General features: G+C 48.2%; 1 protein-coding gene and 1 pseudogene across 9 annotated transcripts in view, besides 7 other annotated features; one reads left to right on the forward strand and one right to left on the reverse strand.

The window, feature by feature from the left end:
• UBAP2 (ubiquitin associated protein 2) overlaps nucleotides 1-11,668 on the reverse strand; it is a 127,507-nt gene extending 115,839 nt beyond the window's left edge. For 6 of the 9 annotated variants that reach the window (NR_163243.2, NM_001370068.2, NM_001370067.2 and 3 more), the window contains exon 1: nucleotides 11,294-11,356. The gene's annotated coding sequence lies outside the window, so the exon portion shown is untranslated. The other 3 variants (NM_001370059.2, NM_020867.2, NM_018449.4) reach the window with 3 other exon arrangements.
• Nucleotides 10,466-11,322: an enhancer, noted in NCBI's record as "NANOG-H3K27ac-H3K4me1 hESC enhancer chr9:34047995-34048851 (GRCh37/hg19 assembly coordinates)". NCBI's record gives its function as "activates a minimal SCP1, AML or CMV promoter by ChIP-STARR-seq in naive H9 embryonic stem cells {active_cell/tissue: H9 hESC(naive)}" and the evidence as "EXISTENCE:reporter gene assay evidence [ECO:0000049][PMID:30033119]".
• Nucleotides 11,139-11,188: a silencer, noted in NCBI's record as "silent region_19840". NCBI's record gives its function as "represses an Ori minimal core promoter by ATAC-STARR-seq in GM12878 lymphoblastoid cells {active_cell/tissue: GM12878}" and the evidence as "EXISTENCE:reporter gene assay evidence [ECO:0000049][PMID:35858748]".
• Nucleotides 11,323-12,178: an enhancer, noted in NCBI's record as "NANOG-H3K27ac-H3K4me1 hESC enhancer chr9:34048852-34049707 (GRCh37/hg19 assembly coordinates)". NCBI's record gives its function as "activates a minimal SCP1, AML or CMV promoter by ChIP-STARR-seq in naive and primed H9 embryonic stem cells {active_cell/tissue: H9 hESC(naive and primed)}" and the evidence as "EXISTENCE:reporter gene assay evidence [ECO:0000049][PMID:30033119]".
• Nucleotides 11,339-11,428: a silencer, noted in NCBI's record as "silent region_19841". NCBI's record gives its function as "represses an Ori minimal core promoter by ATAC-STARR-seq in GM12878 lymphoblastoid cells {active_cell/tissue: GM12878}" and the evidence as "EXISTENCE:reporter gene assay evidence [ECO:0000049][PMID:35858748]".
• Nucleotides 11,459-11,988: an enhancer, noted in NCBI's record as "active region_28304". NCBI's record gives its function as "activates an Ori minimal core promoter by ATAC-STARR-seq in GM12878 lymphoblastoid cells {active_cell/tissue: GM12878}" and the evidence as "EXISTENCE:reporter gene assay evidence [ECO:0000049][PMID:35858748]".
• Nucleotides 12,179-13,035: an enhancer, noted in NCBI's record as "NANOG-H3K27ac-H3K4me1 hESC enhancer chr9:34049708-34050564 (GRCh37/hg19 assembly coordinates)". NCBI's record gives its function as "activates a minimal SCP1, AML or CMV promoter by ChIP-STARR-seq in primed H9 embryonic stem cells {active_cell/tissue: H9 hESC(primed)}" and the evidence as "EXISTENCE:reporter gene assay evidence [ECO:0000049][PMID:30033119]".
• Nucleotides 12,435-12,713, forward strand: RN7SKP114 (RN7SK pseudogene 114; annotated as a pseudogene).
• Nucleotides 13,036-13,890: an enhancer, noted in NCBI's record as "NANOG-H3K27ac-H3K4me1 hESC enhancer chr9:34050565-34051419 (GRCh37/hg19 assembly coordinates)". NCBI's record gives its function as "activates a minimal SCP1, AML or CMV promoter by ChIP-STARR-seq in primed H9 embryonic stem cells {active_cell/tissue: H9 hESC(primed)}" and the evidence as "EXISTENCE:reporter gene assay evidence [ECO:0000049][PMID:30033119]".

Here is a 19,999-nt window from a genome sequence, read left to right on the forward strand (position 1 = left end):
GCAGTCATGGAATACATATTTTTAGACTTTCCAAAAGCCCCAAAAAGTTACATTTTATCCTACAATAAATTAGCAATTTACTTAGCATTGATGAAAATTACCTGAACTAAGTAACAGCAGTAGTTATTTCTTGCTTATCAGATGACCTGACTGGCAATTATATCTGATAAATAATTGAGAAAATAATCATCTGAGAAAAGGATTATCATTCAGTAGTGTACTTCAGTCACAATATGTAAATACACAAACCCTGACTGGATGGGAAAAGAGGCTATAAAAATACTTCAGTGACAATATGTAAATACAGAAACCCCGACTGGATGGGAAAGAGGCTATAAAAATACATTTTGTGGGCCTACAGCAGCTGCTCACGCCTATAATCCCAACACTTTGGGAGGCTGAGGTGAGCACTTGAACCCAGAAGTTGAAGACCAGCCTGTGCAATATGATGAAACCCTGTCTCTACAAAAAAAAAAAAAAAAAAAAAATTAGCTAGGCACGGTGGCACAAATCTGTAGTCCCAGGTACCCAAGAGGCTAAGGTGGATCATCTGAGCACGGGGAGTTCAAGGCTGCAATGAGCTAGGATTGCACCACTGCACTCCAGCCTGGGAAAAAAAAAAAAAAAAAAAAAAAAAGGTCGGGCGCGGTGGCTCCTGCCTGTAATCCCAGCACTTTGAGAGGCTGAGGTGGGAAGATCATGAGGTCAGGAGTTCAAGACCAGCCTGGCCAACACAGTGAAACTCTGTCTCTATTAAAAATACAAGCCTCCCCTCTCCCCACGGTCTCCCTCTGATGCCAAGCCAAAGCTGGACTGTACTGCCGCCATCTCGGCTCACTGCAACCTCCCTGCCTGATTCTCCTGCCTCGGCCTGCCAAGTGCCTGCGATTGCAGGCGCGCGCCGCCACACCTGACTGGTTTTCGTATTTTTTTGGTGGAGACGGGGTTTCGCTGTGTTGGCCGGGCTGGTCTCCAGCTGCTAACCGCGAGTGATCTGCCAGCCTAGGCCTCCTGAGGTGCCGGGATTGCAGACAGTGTCTCATTAACTCAGTGCTCAATGTTGCCCAGGCTGGAGTGCAGTGGCGTGATCTCGGCTCACTACAACCTCCACCTCCCACCCGCCTGCCTTGGCCTCCCAAAGTGCCGAGATTGTAGCCTCTGCCCGGCCGCCACCCCGTCTGGGAAGTGAGGAGCATCTCTGCCTGGCCGCCCATCGTCTGGGATGTGAGGAGCCCCTCTGCCCTGCTGCCCAGACTGGGAAGTGAGGAGCGCCTCTTCCTGGCCGCCATCCCGTCTAGGAAGTGAGGAGCGTCTCTGCCCGGCCGCCCATCGTCTGAGATGTGGGGAGCGCCTCTGCCCCGCCACCCCGTCTGGGATGTGGGGAGCGCCTCTGCCCCGCCACCCCATCTGGGATGTGAGGAGCGCCTCTGCCCGACCGCGACCCCGTCTGGGAGTTGAGGAGCGTCTCTGCCCGGCCGACCCGTCTGAGAAGTGAGGAGCCCCTCCGCCCAGCAGCCGCCCCGTCTGGGAAGTGAGGAGCCCCTCCGCCCGGCAGCCACCCCGTCTGGGAAGTGAGGAGCGTCTCCGCCCGGCAGCCGGCCCGTCTGGGAGGTGGGGGGCAGCCTCCGCCCAGCCAGCCGCCCCTTCCGGGAGGGAGGTGGGGGGCAGCCCCCGCCCGGCCAGCCGCCCCGTTGGGGAGTTGGGGGGCGCCTCCGCCTGGCCGCCGCCCCGTCCGAGAGGTGGGGGGGGCGCCTCTGCCCGGCCACCCCTTCTGGGAAGTGAGGAGCCCCTCTGCCCGGCCGCCACCTCATCTGGGAGGTGTACCCAACTGCTCATTGAGAACGGGCCATGATGACGATGGCGGTTTTGTCGAATAGAAAAGGGGGAAATGTGGGGAAAAGATAGAGAAATCAGATTGTTGCTGTGTTTGTGTAGAAAGAAGTAGACATAGGAGACTCCATTTTGTTCTGTACTAAGAAAAATTCTTCTGCCTTGGGATGCTGTTAATCTATAACCTTACCCCCAACCCCGTGCTCTCTGAAACATGTGCTGTGTCCACTCAGGGTTAAATGGATAAAGGGCGGTGCAAGATGTGCTTTGTTAAACAGATGCTTGAAGGCAGTTAAGAGTCATCACCACTCCCTAATCTCAAGTACCCAGGGACACAAACACTGCAGAAGGCCGCAGGGACCTCTGCCTAGGAAAACCAGAGACCCTTGTTCACTTGTTTATCTGCTGACCTTCCCTCCACTATTGTCCTATGACCCTGCCAAATCCCCCTCTGCGAGAAACACCCAAGAATGATCAATAAATACTAAAAAAAAAAAAAAAAAAAAAAAAATACAAGCCGCACACGGTGGCTCACGTCTGTAATCCCAGCACTTTGGGAGGCCGAGGCGGGCGATCACCTGAGGTCGGGAGTTCAAGACCAGCCTGATGAACATGGAGAAACCCCGACTCTACTAAAAGTACAAAATTAGCCGGGGGCATGGTGGCACATGCCTGTAATCCCAGCTACTTGGGAGGCTGAGGCAGGAGAATCACTTGAACCCAGGAGGCGGAGGTTGCGTTGAGCCAAGATCACGCCATTGCACACTAGCCTGGGCGACAAGGGCTAGACTCCGTCTCAAAAAAAAAAAAAAATTAGCCAGGTGTGGTGGCACGTGCCTGTAGTCCCAGCTACTAGGGAGGCTGGGGCAGAAGAATCCCTTAAACTCGGGAGGCGGAGGTTGCAGTGAGCCGAGCCCACGCCATTGCACTCCAGCCTGGGTGACAGAATGAGACTCTGTCTCAAAAAAAAAAAAAAAAAAAAAAAAGGGACAGAAAACAAACACACAGGCCAGCCAACTAGAAGACTAAATATAATGGCAGACATATATCCAAAATATCTGTAATTACAACAGATATGAATGGTCTCCATGCTCTAGTTAAAGAGGTTAGCTGATGGCTCACTCCTACAATCCCAGCACTTTGTGCGGGTGAGGTGGGAAGATCACTTGAGCCCAGGAGTTCACGACCAGCCCAGCCAACATAGCGATACACTCTAATTAATTAAAAAGAAGTTAGCAAGTTGCTAACTTAACAAAGCAAAATCCAGCTATGTGGCGTTCATGAAAGATATATCTAGAACATCCCACTACAATTGGCTAAAACTAAAAAGGCAACATAAAATGTTGGCAAGGATGTAGAACTCTTAAACCACTCAGTCTTTGAGAATGAATTCCCAATTCTTAGGGCATCCACTCTGTGTATAAGCTGAACTTTTTCCAGACACCTAGAATGAAATTCATTATGTACCATCCTTGACAGATTTGAGAAAATAGTAACTCAACTTTCTGTGTTCTGTGGTTCAGCTGACAAGCCTGAGAACAACTGTGCAACATGTGGAAAACACTTTAGCATTACTTAGTAAAAGTTACACATACCCTACATACAAACCAAAAATTCCACTCTCAGTTATGTAGTCTTGAGAAAATGGACTTTGTTTGTTGTGGGCAGGGTGGCAAATGTCCACATGAGGACAAGTAAAATTGGTAATCTCAAAAAACTGGAAATGAGACAAATATCCATCAACAATGAAATAGACAACATATGGCACATCCTTACAATGTAACCTCATACTACTATAAGAAATCAACGGGCCGGGCACGATGGCTAACACCTGTAATCCCGGCACTTTGGGAGGCCGAGGTGGGCAGATCGCTGGAGGTCAGGAGTTCGAGACCAGCCTGCCCAACATAGTGAACCCACAGCTCTACTAAAAATGCAAAAAAAAAAAAAAAAATTAGCCAGGCATGGTGGTGCCTGCCTGTAATCCCAGCTACTTGGGAGGCTGAGGCAGGAGAATTGCTTGAACCCAGGAGGCAGAGGTTGCAGTGAGCCAAGATCGCACCATTGCACTCTAGCCTGGGCAACAAGAGCAAACTCCATCTCAAAAAAAAAAAAAAAAACAAACAAGAGTCCATGACCAGCCTGGCCAACATGGTGAAACCCCGTCTCTACTAAGAATACAAAAATTAGCTGAGCATGGTGGCAGGTGTCTGTAATCCCAGCTACTCGGGAGGCCGAGGCAGGAGAATTGCTTGAACCAAGGAGGCAGAGGCTGCAGTGAGCTGAGAAGCCGAGATCGTGCCACTGGCATTCCAGCCTGGGCAAAAGAGCAAGACTCCGTCTTATAAAACAAAACAAAGAAAAAAGAAATCTACATGGGGGCTGGGTGCAGTGGCTCATGCCTGTAATACCAGAACTTTGGGAGGCCGAAGCAGGCAGATCACCTGAGGTCAGGAGTTCGAGACCAGCCTGGCTAACACAAGGAAACCCCGTCTCTACCAAAAAATACAAAAATTAGCCAGGCATGGTGGCGGGCACCTGTAGTCCCAGCTATTTGGGAGGCTGAGGAAGGAGAATCGCTTGAACCCGGGAGGTGAATGTTGCAGTGAGCCAGGATCGAGCCACTGCACTCCAGCCTGAGCAACAGACTGAGACCCTATCTCAAAAAAAAGAAATCAACATGGATAAATCTCAAGCATGTAAGAGTGAAAGAATCAAGCATCAGAAGAATCATACAATTCTTACATTGAGAATAAGACTGAAAATGGGCACTATTAAACCATATGTTGCTTACGGATATACATATAAGGTAAAATTATTGTAAAAAAGTAACAGTAGGCTGGGGTGGTGGCTCATGCCTGTAATCCCAGCACTTTGGGAGCTCAGGTGGGCGGATCATGAGGTCAGGAGTTTGAGACCAGCCTGGCCAACACAGTGAAACCCCATCTCTACCAAAAATACAAAAAATTAGCCAGGCGTGGTGGCGGGCACCTATAATCCGAGCTACTCGGGAGATGGAGGCTGGAGATTCGCTTGAACTTGGGAGGTGGAGGTTGCAGTGAGCTGAGATCGGGCCACTACACTTCAGCCCAGGCGATAGTGCAAGACTCCGTCTCAAAAAAAAAAAAAAAAAAAGGAACAGTAGAACCTGCAGAGTGACTCATACCTATAATCCCAGGACTCTGGGAGGCCAAGCAGGAGGATCACTTGAGTCCAGGAGTTCAAGACCACCCTGGGCAACATAGCTAGACCTTGTCTCTATTTTAAAACAACAACACAAAGGAATAGTAAACCTATAATGTAGGGTAATGGTTACCTCAAGGAAAGCGAAAAGAAATGCCTTGGGAGCTGGCATACACAGGAGACTTCCAGGTAGCAGTAATGTCCTATTTCTTGGTTGTTCATTTTACTTTTTTTTTTTAATTTTACATATGGGGCCAGGCATTAAGCTCACACCTGTAATCTCAGCACTTTAGTAGGCCAAGGCAGGAGGATCACTTTAGCCTAAGAGACCAGCCTGGGCAACATAGCAAGACTCCTCTCTACAAAAAGAAAAATTAGCTGAGCATGGTGATGCATCCCTGTGGTCCAAGCTACTCAGGAGGCTGAGGTGGGAGGATGCCTTAATCCTGGGAGATAGAGGCTGCAGTGAGCCATGATCATGCCAAGACACTCCATCCTGGGCGACAAAGCAAGACCCTGTCTCCAAAAAAAACAACTCTACATATGTGTTTACCCCCAACCACCTTCTACGTTATACAATGACAACTCTACATGTTTTTATGCCTCATATATCATCTACGGTATGTATGCTGTTTTTTGGGTTTTTCTTCTGAGACAGGGTCTGTCACCCAGGCTGAAGTGCAGTGGCACAATCACAGCCCACTGCAGTCTCAACCACCCAGGCTTAAGCAATCCTCCAACCTCAGCCTCCTGAGTAGCTGGGACTACAAGCACACCATGCCCAGCTAATTTTTGTATTTTTAGTAAAGACAGGGTTTTGCCACGTTGTCTAAGCTGCTCTCCAACTCCTGGGCTCAAGTGATTCACCTGCCTCGGCCTCCCAAAGTGCTGGGATTACAGGCATGAGCCACCACACCCAAACTATGCTGTATTTTTCAATAAAAATCAGCAAGTATGCAAAGTATGATCCTATTATTTATGGAGATAGGGTCTCACTCTGTCACCCAAGCTGGAGTGCAATGGCACAATCATAGCTCACTGTGGCCTCAAGCAATCCTCCCACCTCAGCCTCACAAGTAGATGGGACTCTGGGTACATGCAATCATGCCCAGTTAATTTTTACATTTTTTTTATAGAGACAGGGTCTCACTATATTGCCCACGCTGGTCTCGAACTCCTGCTCAAGAAATCCTTCCACCTCAGCCTCCCAAAGCGTTGGAATTACACGCAGGAGCCATGGAGCCAGGCTCCAACTTTTTTTTTTTTTAAACATATACTCCATGTTTCAGGGGGAAAAAAAAGGCCAGGCACAGTGGTCCACAACTGTAATCTCAGCACTTTGGGAGGCCGAAGCAGGTGGATCACCTGAGGTCAGGAGTTCAAAACCAGCATGGCCAAAATGACAAAATCCTGTCTCTACAAAAAATACGAAAATTATCAGAGCACGGTGGCAGGCTAATCGCTTGAACCCAGTAGGCGGAGATTGCAGTGAACAGAGATCACACCACTGCACTCTGGCCTGGGTGACAGAATGAAACTCCACCTCAAAAAAAAAAAAAAAAAAAAAAATTAGCCGGGCGCGGTGACTCACGCCTGTAATCCCAGCACTTTGGGAGGCCGAGGCGGGCAGATCACACACGAGGTCAGGAGATCAAGACCATCCTGGCTAACACGGTGAAACCTTGTCTCTACTAAAAATACAAAAAATTAGCCAGGCTTGACAGCACACGCCTGTAGTCCCAGCTACTCGGGAGGCTGAGGCAGGAGAATGGCGTGAACCTGGGAGGCGGAGTTTGCAGTGAGCCGAGATAGCGCCACTGCACTCCAGCCTGGGCAAGAGAGCAAGACTCTGTCTCGAAAAAAAAAAAAAATTAGCTGGGCGTGGTGATGCATGCCTGTAGTCCCAGCTGCTTGGGAAGTTGAGGCACAAGAATCACTTAAGCCAGGGAGGCAGAGGTTACAGTGAGCCAAGGCACCACAGCACTCCAGCCTGGGCGACAGAGAAAGACTGTCTCAAGAAAATAAAAATAAAAGAAGAAGCCAGGTGTGGTGGCTCACGCAAGTAATCCCAGCACTTTGGGAGGCCAAGGCAGGTGGATCACCTGAGGTCAGGAGTTCCAAGACCAATATGGCCAACATGGTGAAATCCCATCTCTACTAAAATTACAAAAATTAGCCAAGTGTGTTGGCAGGCGCCTGTAACCCCAGCTACTCAGGAGGCTGAGGCAGGAGCATCACTTGAACCCGGTGGGCAGAGGTTGCAGTGGGCGAAGATCGTACCACTGCACTCCAACCTGGGTGACAGAGCGAGACTCCATCTGTAAATAAATAAATAAATAAATGAAGAGTATTACCTAGTCTTAAATAAAACACCTACTCTACTCCTTAATGTGAGCCCTATTTCATACTTCAAATCCAAATAGTTAACTGGATTCCAATTCAATTATGCTATGTCCAGCATGAAAATTAGTTATCAAAAAATGGAAACTTATCAAACATTGTTTACAAACGGGTAAAAAAAGGCTGGGCGCCGTGGCTCACCCCTGTAATCCCAGCACTTTGGGAGGCCGAGGCGGGCGGATCACGAGGTTAGGAGATCAAGACCATCTGGCTAACACTGTGAAACCCCGTCTCTAATAAAAATACAAAAAATTAGCCGGGCGTGGCGGCAGGCGCCAGTAGTCCCAGGTACTCGGGAGGCTGAGGCAGGAAAATGGCATGAACCCAGAAGGCGGAGCTTGAAGTGAGCCGAGATTGCACCACTGCACTCCAATTTGGGCAACAGTGAGACTGTCTTCAAAAAAAAAAAAGGGTAGAAAAAAATAAAAATTAAAAAAAAAATTTTTTTTTGAGACGGAGTCTTGCTCCATCCAGGCTGGATGAAGTCCAATGGCACATGGCTCACAGCAACCTCCACCTCCCAGGTTCAAGCAATTCTACCGCCTCAGCCTCTGGAGCAGCTGGGACTACAGGCACGCGCCACCACACCAGGCTCATTTTTGTATTTTTAGTAGAGACGGGGTTTCACCATGTTGGTTAGGTTAGTCTCGAACTCCCGACCTCGTGACCCGCCCGCCTCCGCCTCCCAAAGTGCTGGGATTACAGACATGAGCCACAGTGCCCAGTCACAAAAGAAAATTTTTAAGGAGCATCTTTGAGAAACTTAAAAAATGTCAAGTAAACTCAGCAGGAAATATCAGCATAAGTGGTTTACATTAAAATTGTAAAAACTAATCTGATAAATTTGATTCTTTGAGTTAGTAAAAAAAGGATCCTATTCCTAAATACTTGATAGTTGGGGCAAAATTACTTCAAAATCTACCACAAAGATTACATGGTGATATTCCCTACATGTCCTCCCTCTCTTTGCCTTCCTTCAGGTTGTATCTCCACTCTTTGGAAAAAACGGCTGCTTCTAAAATCTATCAGAGATCTACTAACTTACCAGTCAACACCATGGGTACCATAACACTTAGCTTTTAAGAACGCTCCATTTACTCAAAATAACAACTAAGAGCTCCATTTACTCAAAATAACAACTAAGAATGAACGGGTATTTGCTGACATACAGGTTTCTCACAAGGAAAAATAAAGACAGATGTGCTTAAGGGCAGAGAACTTTACAATCTGTAAATGCCTGCAGACTGCTTCTTTAGAGCAGGCATTAACCCTTGCTAATATACTTAACCACCCCCACCCCCCAACCCCACAAAGTGTCTTATTAACAAAGGAAATCTTAACAATAAATCATCATTTAAAAAAAAAAAAAAGAGGACTGGGAAATCAACAATTCAAAGCTAACATTTTAGAAGTAAAGGCTTCATGCCGGGCGGGGTGGCTCACGCCTGCAATCCCAGCACTTTGGGAGGCAGGCGGATCACGGGGTCAGGAGATCAAGACCATCCCGGCTAACACAGTGAAACCCCATCTCTACTGAAAAATACAAAAAATTAGCCGGGCGTGGTGGTGGGTGCCTGTAGTGCCAGCTACTCGGGAGGCTGAGCCAGGAGAATGGCGTGAACCCGGGAGGCGGAGCTTGCAGTGAGCCGAGATCAGGCCACTGCACTCCAGCCTGGGCGACAGAACAAGACTCCATCTCAAAAAAAAAAAAAAAAAAAAAAAAAAAAAGAAGGCTTCACTTCAGACCACTCCAAACCTTCAAGAAAGGTTTGTACTTTCTACACATATTTTATACTTAAGAGGGTAGATACCGGGACCAGTTCCCATCACAATACAAGTACATATTGAAATAAACCTATTAGTCTACATGTTCTCACACCATCACACCATTTCTCCCCATACAATAAAAGTCACTCAGGCTAATACTAAGAGAGACACTCCTGGTGATCACTACATAGACTGCACTAGTAACCAGGAAAGGGAAGCAGAGGTGTTATTGTTGTTCCAATATAGTTCTAAAGGCAACTCCATGTGACTACTGCTGATCCAGCCCACATTTAAAGGGAGGACAGAGGAAACCAGAGCAGCAGGAAACAGGCAAGAGAGGCAATTACCACAACCCTTTCCCATGGCCTCATTCTCTCCCATGCCACCACTTTCGGGCATATTTCAATCACAACAAAAACCTTCCTTCTCTGAAAGGTTTCATAATTATTGAGGGTGAGAGGCAACAGGGAAGCAAATGGGGGAAATCAGCGCTGTGGGAAAATCTCTCGTCACACGTATCAACTAGCCATAAGTAGGAAAATCAGGAGTATGCTGGCAGCAAGCAAAAGGGCAGTTTGGGAAACTAATCACTTCTGCCTAATGATAAGAGAAGCCTTCAAAGCAATGGAAGGACAACCCTAGCGAAGGGGCTCCACAGGTGAGTGTATTGAAGGAAACTATCATCTCCAGGGAGTGGAATACATTCCCTTTCCTGAGGTAAAAGGGGAACACACCAATGTAGGATACGGGAGAGCTTAGGTATCATGTTCAACTTCCTTCCACCTTTCACAAACTGGCACTAAAACGGATACACAATTCACAGTGAAAAGTGAGGAATGCAATAACTAGTCGCATACCCCTTGTTGAAAAAAGTGCTGTCACAACGGAAGAGGAATATAAGAACTGGGTTCACCCAAGAAATTATATGCCCTTCAAATAAAAGATAATCTTTGGATACCTTATGGAGACCTGAAAAAACCCTCAACTAGCTGAGCACCGTGGTGCACACTGTAATCCCAGATACTCAGGAGGCTGAGGTGAAAGAATCGCTTAAACCCAGGAGCTGGAGGCCAGCCTGGGCAACATATGGAGACCATATCTCTAAAATTAATAGTAATTTTTTAAAATCTCTCAACTGTTAGGATACACTGGTGCTGTAGAAAGACAATAAGCCTAAATACTGGCAAACCATATACCTTCCTTGAATGTGAGGTAAAAACAATATCCAATAGAAGTGGTAGTAAATGACTGGATTACATCAAACAGGAAATAACAGTAATAATGATGGGATCAACCCCTAAAGCGAGCAAGCATTAGAGACCAGAGTGGTGACAGTTGAGATGCGTGGGCAACTAATTAGACTAAAAACTCAGGGGAAAATGTGGAAAAGCCGAGTGGGAAAGTGATTCAGAGGCAAACAACTGAGTTGTAATGCACCAATGAAAGAATAACATTTTGAGTATGTATTATTAACAGAGAGAGCTTTGCCGTTTACAAAGCGCTCAAAAACCTACATTAAATAATGAACTGTGATATAACCAGACTACAGGAACGGCGGGTGTGGAGGAAAACTGAGTCCCAATTGAGACCAATGCCCTACAGAATTGAAAAGAAGTAGAACTGAACTGTGACTCCGGGTAAGCCAGGAAAGGTTAGAGAGCGCATAAGTTGGGGCTATAACAGGGCCAGTCCCAAGACTAGCTACGGGCGTGAAAGCGGAAAGGTGATGAGATGGGACCGACAGCGTGGCGGGGAAGCTCCAGTCTACTGGCAGGCACCGAGGTGGGAGAGAAAACCACACCCTCCAGGGCAGAAACCCGAAAGGGGGGAGGGGAGGCACCCCTGGGGCTGGGTGGGGCCCAGCCGACCTGGACGGGGGAAAGTAGGAAGAAGCACAGGGCAACGTGAGGGGAAGAGGAAGGAGGGAGCCCGGGCCTGGACGTAGAGGGACCGTGGACCTGGCGAGTGAAGCTCGGCCCGGTCCTCACGGGTGGGCGCCGGGGCAGTCTGCAGGCGGTGGGGTTTCAGACGAGCTGAACCCAGAATTAGAAAGCACACGCTGCAGCGCTCAGGGCCCTGGAAGAGGGAAGGAGAGGGAGAGGATGGCAATTACCGCTGCTGCTCTCGGAGGACCCAAGACCCGCTGCCGCCGCCGCCGCTCGTTACCTGCCAATGTGCCTCTTACAAAGCGGCGGCGGCGGCACAGGCTGCCCAACCCGTCACGTGACCTCGCGTCACGGGCGAAGGAGGAGCCACAACACGTCGCTCGTGCGCGGCTTCAGAGTCAGCCTAGGCGGCGCGCGGCCTCTTCCAGCCACCACCTCCACCCCAACCCCGCGAAGCCAACCGCGTGGAGGTGGGGACCACAGAAAGGAACAAATAAGGGAGACTTGATAATATGTATTGTACTCGGAGTCATCAGGAGAGTATTACCCACCGCATACAAGGTGCCCACAACTGCAGCTCGTCGTCGCGCCGTGATGACCTCACAAAGCACCACAGGTTACTCCCCTGTGGCCGCCCTGTGCTCATCACGTGATGTGGTCCAACCACTCAGGGCAAGCCTGGCCTCCCAAATGTTGCACGAGGGGACCACGACTCCCAACATGCTGCACAGCCAAGGCGACCCCTACCGCAGCCTTTCTCCAGCGGGCTTCTAGACGAACCCCCTAGAGACCTTAGAGCCGAGGGAAGGCCGGGACGGAAAGCGGACTAAGCTGGCTTGAAGGACTAATACCATTGGATGCCGCCCGCCATGTGGCGGAGCGTGGTGCCTGCTGGGAGGTGTAGTCCTGGCGGGGGGTGGGGTTCCGCTCCCACGTTCCTGGGCTCGCTCTGCGCCCTGCCCCCTGCGCGGGAAAACGCCAACGGCTAGCAGCGAGAGCCTCGGCAAGGCGGAAGGTGCGCCCACTTTTAGTCTTTTTCAGTGCGGTTTTACTTTTGCCCTCCCAAGCCCCTTCTGGGTGAAAAGACTAGAATCTACTGAACGCCTACTCCAAGTCAGCCGTTTATTTCTGTTATATCATATAATCAACTCCTTGAGTCCAGGATTTTCCCTATTTAAGGATTTAAAAAAAGAACCTTAGAGTTGTTTGTTGACCGAAGAGACCCAGGTTTTCTGTCTTTAGAAAATTAATGACCTCCTCTCAATAGGATCTGACCTGTTGTCAACTCCAAGAATTACGAATAAATAAGATGATGGTTTATAATTGTAGCATGGTGTTTTAAAGTATTTTCCATTTACTGGCCTGTTTGGATGTGAGGGCGTTCTGGCTATCTTGTCACCCCATAGATCGCCAGGGCTGATTCGGCTGATCTGGCTGTCTAGGCGGGTGGCCCCTTCCTCCCGCACCTCTCCATGTGCGTCCCTCCCGAAGCTGCATATTCGGTCGAAAAGGAGGAGCATCCCCCATAGAAGAGGACAAGTCAAGGATATAGGAGTAGCTGCACGCCCGTGTTAACAAGCTCTCAAGGTCCTCTAAACAAGCTCTCAAGGTCTACTTACTGGCCTGTTTTATCCCAAGCTAGTTACATACAAGGACTTTGCAGTCCCGGCATGCCTTATCTCAATTGGAGCTTTCCTCTGTAATAACACTTCACCGGCTTGTGAAAATTAAATGAGATTATGTAAAATGCCTGCTTGACACATAATAAACCCTCAGTAAGTATCAGTAATCATTTTCACACTCTACCCATCGGGCCCAAAAGGTCTAAGTAAGGTAGAAAGGGGAAATTAGCTTATACTGAACTTTGTACAGGGCACTATGCTAATTACTAATTTGCTAGTTATTAAGTAAAACAATTGACATCTTAAACAGCCCTATCTAGTTCAAATAAAGCCTTTGTTATTCATCTGAATTAAAGAATGCTGCCGGGCGTGGTGGCTCACACCTGTAATCTCAGCACTTTGGGAGCCGGAGGAGGGCGGATCACAAGATACGGAGTTTGAGACCAGCCTGACCAACACGGTGAAACCCCGTCTCTGTTAAAAATACAAAAAAATGTCCGGGCGCGGTGGCTCACGCCTGTAATCCCAACACTTTGGGAGGCCAAGGCGGGCCGATCACGAGGTCAGGAGATCGAGACCATCCTGGCTAACACGGTGAAACCCAGTCTCTACTAAAAATACAAAAAAATTAGCCGGGCGTGGTGGCGGGCGCCTGTAGTCCCAGCTACTCGGGAGGCTGAGGCAGGAGAATGGCGTGCGGAGTTTGCAGTGGGTCGAGATCGCGCCACTGCACTCCAGCCTGAGCGACAGAGCAAGACTCCGTCTCAAAAAAAAAAAAAAAAAATAGCCTGGCGTGGTGGCACACGCCTGTAATCCCAGCTACTCAGGAGGCTGAGGTAGGAGAATCACTTGAACACAGGAGGTGGAGGTTGCAGTGAGCCAAGATAGCACCACTGCACTCCAGGCTGTTCGACAGAGCAAGACTCTGTCTCAAACAAAAAAAAAAACAAAGAATGCTTAAACTGTGCCTTTAACAAACAGAACTGGGCCGGGCGTGATGGCTCACGCATGTAATCCCAGCACTTTGGGAGGCCAAGGTGGGTGGATCACCTGAGGTCAGGAGTTTGTGACCAGCCTGGCCAACATGGTGAAACCCTGTCTTTACTAAAAAAATACAAAAAATTAGCCGGGCGTGGTGGCGGGCGCCTGTAATCCCAGCTACTTGGGAAGCTGAGGCAGGAGAATCACTTGAACCCAGGAGGCAGAGGTTGTCGTGATCCAAAATTGTGCCACTGCACTCCAGCCTGGGAGGCAGAGTGAGACTCCATCTCAAAAAAAAAAAAACAAAAAAAAAACAGAACTTATCATCATCACCATTCATGTGTAGGTGTATCTTATCTCACCTCTTTTGACAATGAGCTAGGATTGTGTCTTGTCTGTTCGTCTTCCTCCTGTTTGCCCTGCTGCTTTATAGAAATGTGTGGGAGCATCAGAGATAAAAACCACCCTTGAGAGTCAAAGACTTAATGGACAGATCAGGCCAGGCATGGTGGCTCATGCCTGTAATCCCAACACTTTGGGAGGCCAAGGCGGGCGGATCACCTGAGGTCCAGAGTTCAAGACCAGCCTGGCCAACATGGTGAAACCCCGTCTCTACTAAAAATACAAAAATTAGCCAGGCATGGTGGCGGGTGCCTGTCATCCCAGCTACCCGGGAGGCTGAGGCAGGAGAATCACTTGAACCTGGAAGGCGGAGGTTGCAGTAAGCTGAGATCATGCCATTGCCCTCCAGCCTGGGTGACAAGCGCAAAAGTCCGCCTCAAAAAGAAAAAAAATGACAGATCAGGAGAAAAGGATTCTGAAAGGAATATACAAACTTGATAACAGTGGCTGGCTCTGAGGGGTGGGAAAGAGGTTTGTGATTGGGGTTGCTGGCCCAAAGGGACTGCAGTCTAACGTTTTCGCTTTTTACTTGGAGAAGGCACTGGTATATAACTTACGTAATTATAAGATTAACTTGGCCCAGCGCGGTGGCCAAGCACTTTGGGAGGCCAAGGTAGGCGGATCACAAGGTCAAGAGATTGAGACCATCCTGGCCAACATGGTGAAACCCCGTCTCTACTAAAAATACAAAAACTAGCTAGGTGTGGTGGTGCACCTGTGGTGCGCACCTGTAGTCCCAGCTACTCCAGAGGCTGAGGCAGGGGAATCACCTGAACCCGGGAGTCGGAGGTTGCAGTGAGCCAAGATCGAGCCAGTGCACTCCAGCCTGGCAACAGAGCAAGATTCCTCTCAAAAAAAAAAAAAGAAGATTAACTTTATGAGGTCGGGCGCAGTGGCTCACATCCGTAATCCCAGCACTTTGTGAGGCCGAGGCAGGTGGATCACTTGAAGTCGGGAGTTCAAGACCAGCCTGACCAACATGGAGAAGGCCTGTCTCTACTAAAAACCCAAAATTAGCCTGGCATGGTAGTGTATGCCTGTAATCCTAGCTACTCGGGAGGCTGAGGCAGGAGAATTGCTTGAACCTGGGAGGCGGAGGTTGCAGTGAGCTGAGATCGTACCATTGCACTCCAGCCTGAGCAACAAGAGCAAAATTCTGTCTCAAAAAAAAGGAAAAAAAAAGATTAGCTTTATGAAAAGGAAGACCAGAGACCACGTGTTAGCTCTGTGACCCTGTACAAGCTGTGTCACTTCTCCAGGCCTCAATTTCTTGTTAAATTCATTTTCAAAAACATCTGCCTTTTCTGTGTCAGGGACACTGTGCTGGTTACTTTTATTACATTATCATTTATTAAGCAAGAAGTCCTACCAAGAACCTAGGATCAGAGAAAATAAGAACATCAAAGCCCTAAAACCTCACTGATTACTGTTATTGGGACCTGGATGCAACAGAACTAGCCTTTCCCTCCCCGTCCCTCACACAAAGGATATCATTCACCTTATCCACCCAGCTTGACTCTGAGACATTGACTCTGAAACTAAAACTAATTTCACATCCTGTGACTGCAAAGGACATCCCCATCTTTTTTTTTTTTTTTTTTTTTGAGACAGAGTCTCACTCTGTCGCCCATGCTGGAGTGCAGTGGCGCGATCTCGGCTCGCGGCAAGCTCCGCCTCCCGGATTCACGCCTTTCTCCTGCCTCCGCCTCCCAAGTAGCTGGGACTACAGGCTCCCGCCACCATGCTCGGCTAATTGTTTTAATATTTTTTAGTAGGGACGGGGTTTCACCGTGTTAGCCAGGATGGTCTCGATATCCTGACCTCGTGATCCGACTGCCTTGGCCTCCCAAAGTGCTGCGATTACAGGCATGAGCCACTGCACCTGGCCATCCCCATCTTTTTTACCAGTTTTTGTTTGCTTCAGTCTTCTTGCTGGACTAAAGTGAGCACATAATGTCATGGAAGATACACTGGAGAATTTATCAGAAACCTGGGTTCTGAAGTCTGTACAAATGGGTGGCAATATGATAGATAGGTGTGTGAAATCATTCTTTTTTTTCTTAGACAGGGTCTTGCTATGTTGCCCAGGCCAGAGTGCAGTACCTATTCACAGGTGTAATTATAGTGTACTATAGCCTTTAGCTCCTGAACTCAGGCAGTCTTCCCACCTCAGCCTCCAGACTAGCTGAGACTACAGGCAGTGTGCCACTGCACCGGGATCTGGAATCAGTAATTCTTAGATGAGGCCCGTCTTCAGAAACAACCAGTAATAGTAATAGGTGGCTGAGATTTAGGAGGATACAATCAAGGCATATAAACTCCAAAGCAGAACAGGTGTGGTGCCTCACGCCTGTAATCCTATCACTCTAGGAGGCCGAGATGGGAGGCTCACTTGAGGCCAGGAGTTCAAGACCAGCCTGGGCAATATAGCAAGACTCCATCTCTATTTATATATACATATATTTATTTTCTTAATAAAAAACTCCAAAGCAGAATTTTCACAAACTAGATAAAGCTAATCACAGTTGAAATCTTTTTTTTTTTCTTTTTTTGATACCGGGTCTCACTCTGTCGCCCAGGCTGGAGTGCAGCGGGCGATCTCAACTCACTGCAACCTTCACCTCCTGGGTTCAACCGATTCCCATGCCTCAGCCTCCCAAGTAGCTGGAACTACAGGCAGGCACCACCATACCCAGCTAATTTTTTTTTTTTTGAGACTGAGTCTCGCTCTGTAGCCCAGGCTGGAGTGCAGTGGCGCAATCTCGGCTCACTGCAAGCTCCACCTCCTGGATTCATGCCATTCTCCTGCCTCAGCCTCCCAAGTAGCTGGGACTACAGGGCCCCGCCACGATGCCCGGCTAATTTTTTGTATTTTTAGTAGAGACAGGGTTTCACTGTGTTAGCCAGGATGGTCTCGATCTGCTGACCTCATGATCCACCTGCCTCGACCTCCCAAAGTGCTGGGATTGCAGGCATGAGCCACCGCGCCCGGCTATACCCAGCTAATTTTTGTATTTTTAGTAGAGACGGGTTTTGCTGTGTTGGCCAGGCTGGTCTCAAACTCCCGGCCTCAGGTGATCTGCCCACCTTGGCCTCCCAAAGTGTTGGAATTACAGGCGTGACCCACTGCACCTGGTTCACAGTTGAAATCTAATGTACTCTCTTAATTGTAAAATAAATGTCATAATCAAATGCATTATACCCTGCCTAAAGAATGTGATAATACGAGGTCAGGAGATGAGACCATCCTGGCTAACACGGTGAAATCCCGTCTCTACTAAAAATACAAAAAAATTAGCCGGGCGTGGTGGCGGGCGCCTGTAGTCCCAGCTACTCGGGAGGCTGAGGCAGGAGAATGGTGTGAACCTGGGAGGCGGAGCTTCCAGTGAGCCAAGATCATGCCACTGTACTCCAGCCTGGGCAAAAGAGCAAGACTTCGTCTCCAAAAAAAAAAAAGAATGTGATAACAGAGAGGAAAATAGGCTTCCTAGAGTCTTAAAAAAAAAAAATGAACCTTAATAAGCAAAAGCGTATGCCTTGCAAGAAACAGGGTGGCCTAACCAGCACTTAGAACATTTTGACCCCTTAGCAGATTTCTGCCTTTAGCAGATGAAGATGGGTGTTCCATGCCTATTAACCATAAGGTTCCCTAACCTGTGTTCCATGTTTTCAAGCAACCTACTGATTAGAATTTGGCTGCTATTTAATACTTTCCTCCAGAGAAGTGAATGTGCTGTTGACCAGAGAACCATATGTTATTTGGCTTGACTGAAAATTAGTGTACTGGCCAGGCGCAGTGGCTCATGCCTGTAATGCCAGCACTTTGGGAGGCTGAGCTGGGTGGAGCACCTGAGGTCAGGAGTTTGAGACCAGCCTGATTAATGTAGTGAAACCCCATCTCTACTAAAAATACCAAAAAATTAGCATGGCATGGTGGCACATGCCTGTAATCCCAGCTACTAGGGAGGTTGAGGCAGGAGAATTGCTTGAATCCAAGAGGCAGAGGTTGCAGTGAGATCGCGCCATTGCACTCCAGCCTGGGCGACAGAGCGAGACTCCTTTAAAAAAAAAAAAAAAGCTAAAGAGAAAGGAAAGGAAAGGAAAAGAAAATGAAAATTAGTGTACTGGAAGCCAGGCACAATAGCTCATGCCTGTAATCCCAGAATTTTGGGAGTCCAAAGTGGGAGGATCACTTGAGCTCAGGAGTTCAAGACCAGCCTGGGCAACATAGTGAGACCCCACCTCTTTTTTTTTTTTGAGCCGGAGTTTCACTCTTGTTGCCCAGGCTGGAGTGCAGTGGCACGATCTTGGCTCACTGCAACGTCCACAAATCCCAAAGTGCTGGGATTACAGGCATGAGCCACTGCGCCAAGCAACCCCACCTCTATTTTTAAGAAAACGAAAAACAACTGGCCAGGCGGGTTCAAGTGATGCTCCTGCCTCAGCCTCCTGAGTAGCTGGGATTATAGGTGCATGCCACCAGGCCCGGCTAATTTTTGTATTTTTAGTAGAGATGGGGTTTCACCATGTTGGCCAGGCTGGTCTTGAACTTCTGACCTCAGATGATCCACCCACCTTGGCCTCCCAAAGTGCTGGGATTACAGGGGTGAGCCATTGCGCCCGGCCTGAGATGCTGAACTTTAAATGCAGTGACCAAAAGAAGTAATCATAATGTCACTGTGTGAGGCCTTTTGGGCATGGTGACTTACACCTGTAATCCCAGCACTTTTGGAGGCCTAGGAAGGAGGATTTCGAATTGCTCTAGTATTGACTTTGGAAACAAAAGACATCGTTCTATTTATAGCATTCTGGTTTTGGTAGTAGTATTTCCATTTACAAAATATAGTAATTCTCAATCGCCGATAATGTCAAATCCTAGAAAACACAGCAGTCCTACATGTGATTTTAACATCATTCTCAAAGAGTTGTTGGCCGGAGACTCATTTCACGAATCCAATTTTTCCAAAATAGACAATTCTGATGATTCAGATGATCCTGATCTTAGCTCTGTTTAGAAATAACTCCAAGAACAGTTTTTTAAATTTTATGTTCACATTGAAAACCAGTCAGATTTGCTTCGGCCTCAATGAGCATGTTTATGTGAAATTAAATGAGCACTGGCAGCGAGCTGCACTTTTTTTTTTCTAAACCAGGAAAGGGTTAAAAACCTTTGCTTAGGCCAGACACAGTGGTTCATGCCTGTAACCCCAGCACTTTGGGAGGCCAAGAGGGGATGGTCCCTTGAGCCCAGGAGTTCAAGACCAGAATGGCCAACATGGCAAAACCCCATCTCTACTAAAAAATACAAAAATTAGCCAGGAGTGATGGTACACACCTGTAGTCCCAGCTACTCAGGTGGCTGAGGCACAAGAATCACTGGAACCCGAGAGGTAGAGGTTGCAGTGAGCCGAGCTCATACCACTGCACTCCAGCCTGGGCAACAGAGCAAGACTCTGTCAAAAAAAAAAAAAAAAGAAAGAAAGCAAGCCTGGCTGGGCGCAGTGGCTCATGCCTGTAATCTCAGCACTTTGGGAGGCCAAGGAGGGCGGATCACAAGGTCAGGATTTTGAGACCAGGCTGGCCAACATGGTGAAACCCCGTGTCTACTAAAAAAAAATTTAAAAATTAGCCGGGCATGGTGGTGTGCGCCTGTAATCCCAGCTACTTGGGAGGCTGAGGTGGGAGAATTGCTTGAACACGGGAGGCAGAGGTTGCAGTGAGCAGAGATCACACGGCTGCACTCCAGCCCGGGCGACAGAGCAAGACTCTGTCTCAAATATATATATATATATATTACAAAAATTAGCTGGGTGTGGTGGTACATGCCTGTAGTCCCAGCTACTTGGGAGGCTGAAGCACAATAATTTGAACCCAGGAGGTGGAGGTTTCAATGAGCCAGATTGCACCACTACACTCCAGCCTGGGCAA

This window comes from Homo sapiens, chromosome 9, assembly GCF_000001405.40.
Source record: "Homo sapiens chromosome 9, GRCh38.p14 Primary Assembly".
In the NCBI taxonomy this organism is placed as follows: domain Eukaryota; kingdom Metazoa; phylum Chordata; class Mammalia; order Primates; family Hominidae; genus Homo; species Homo sapiens.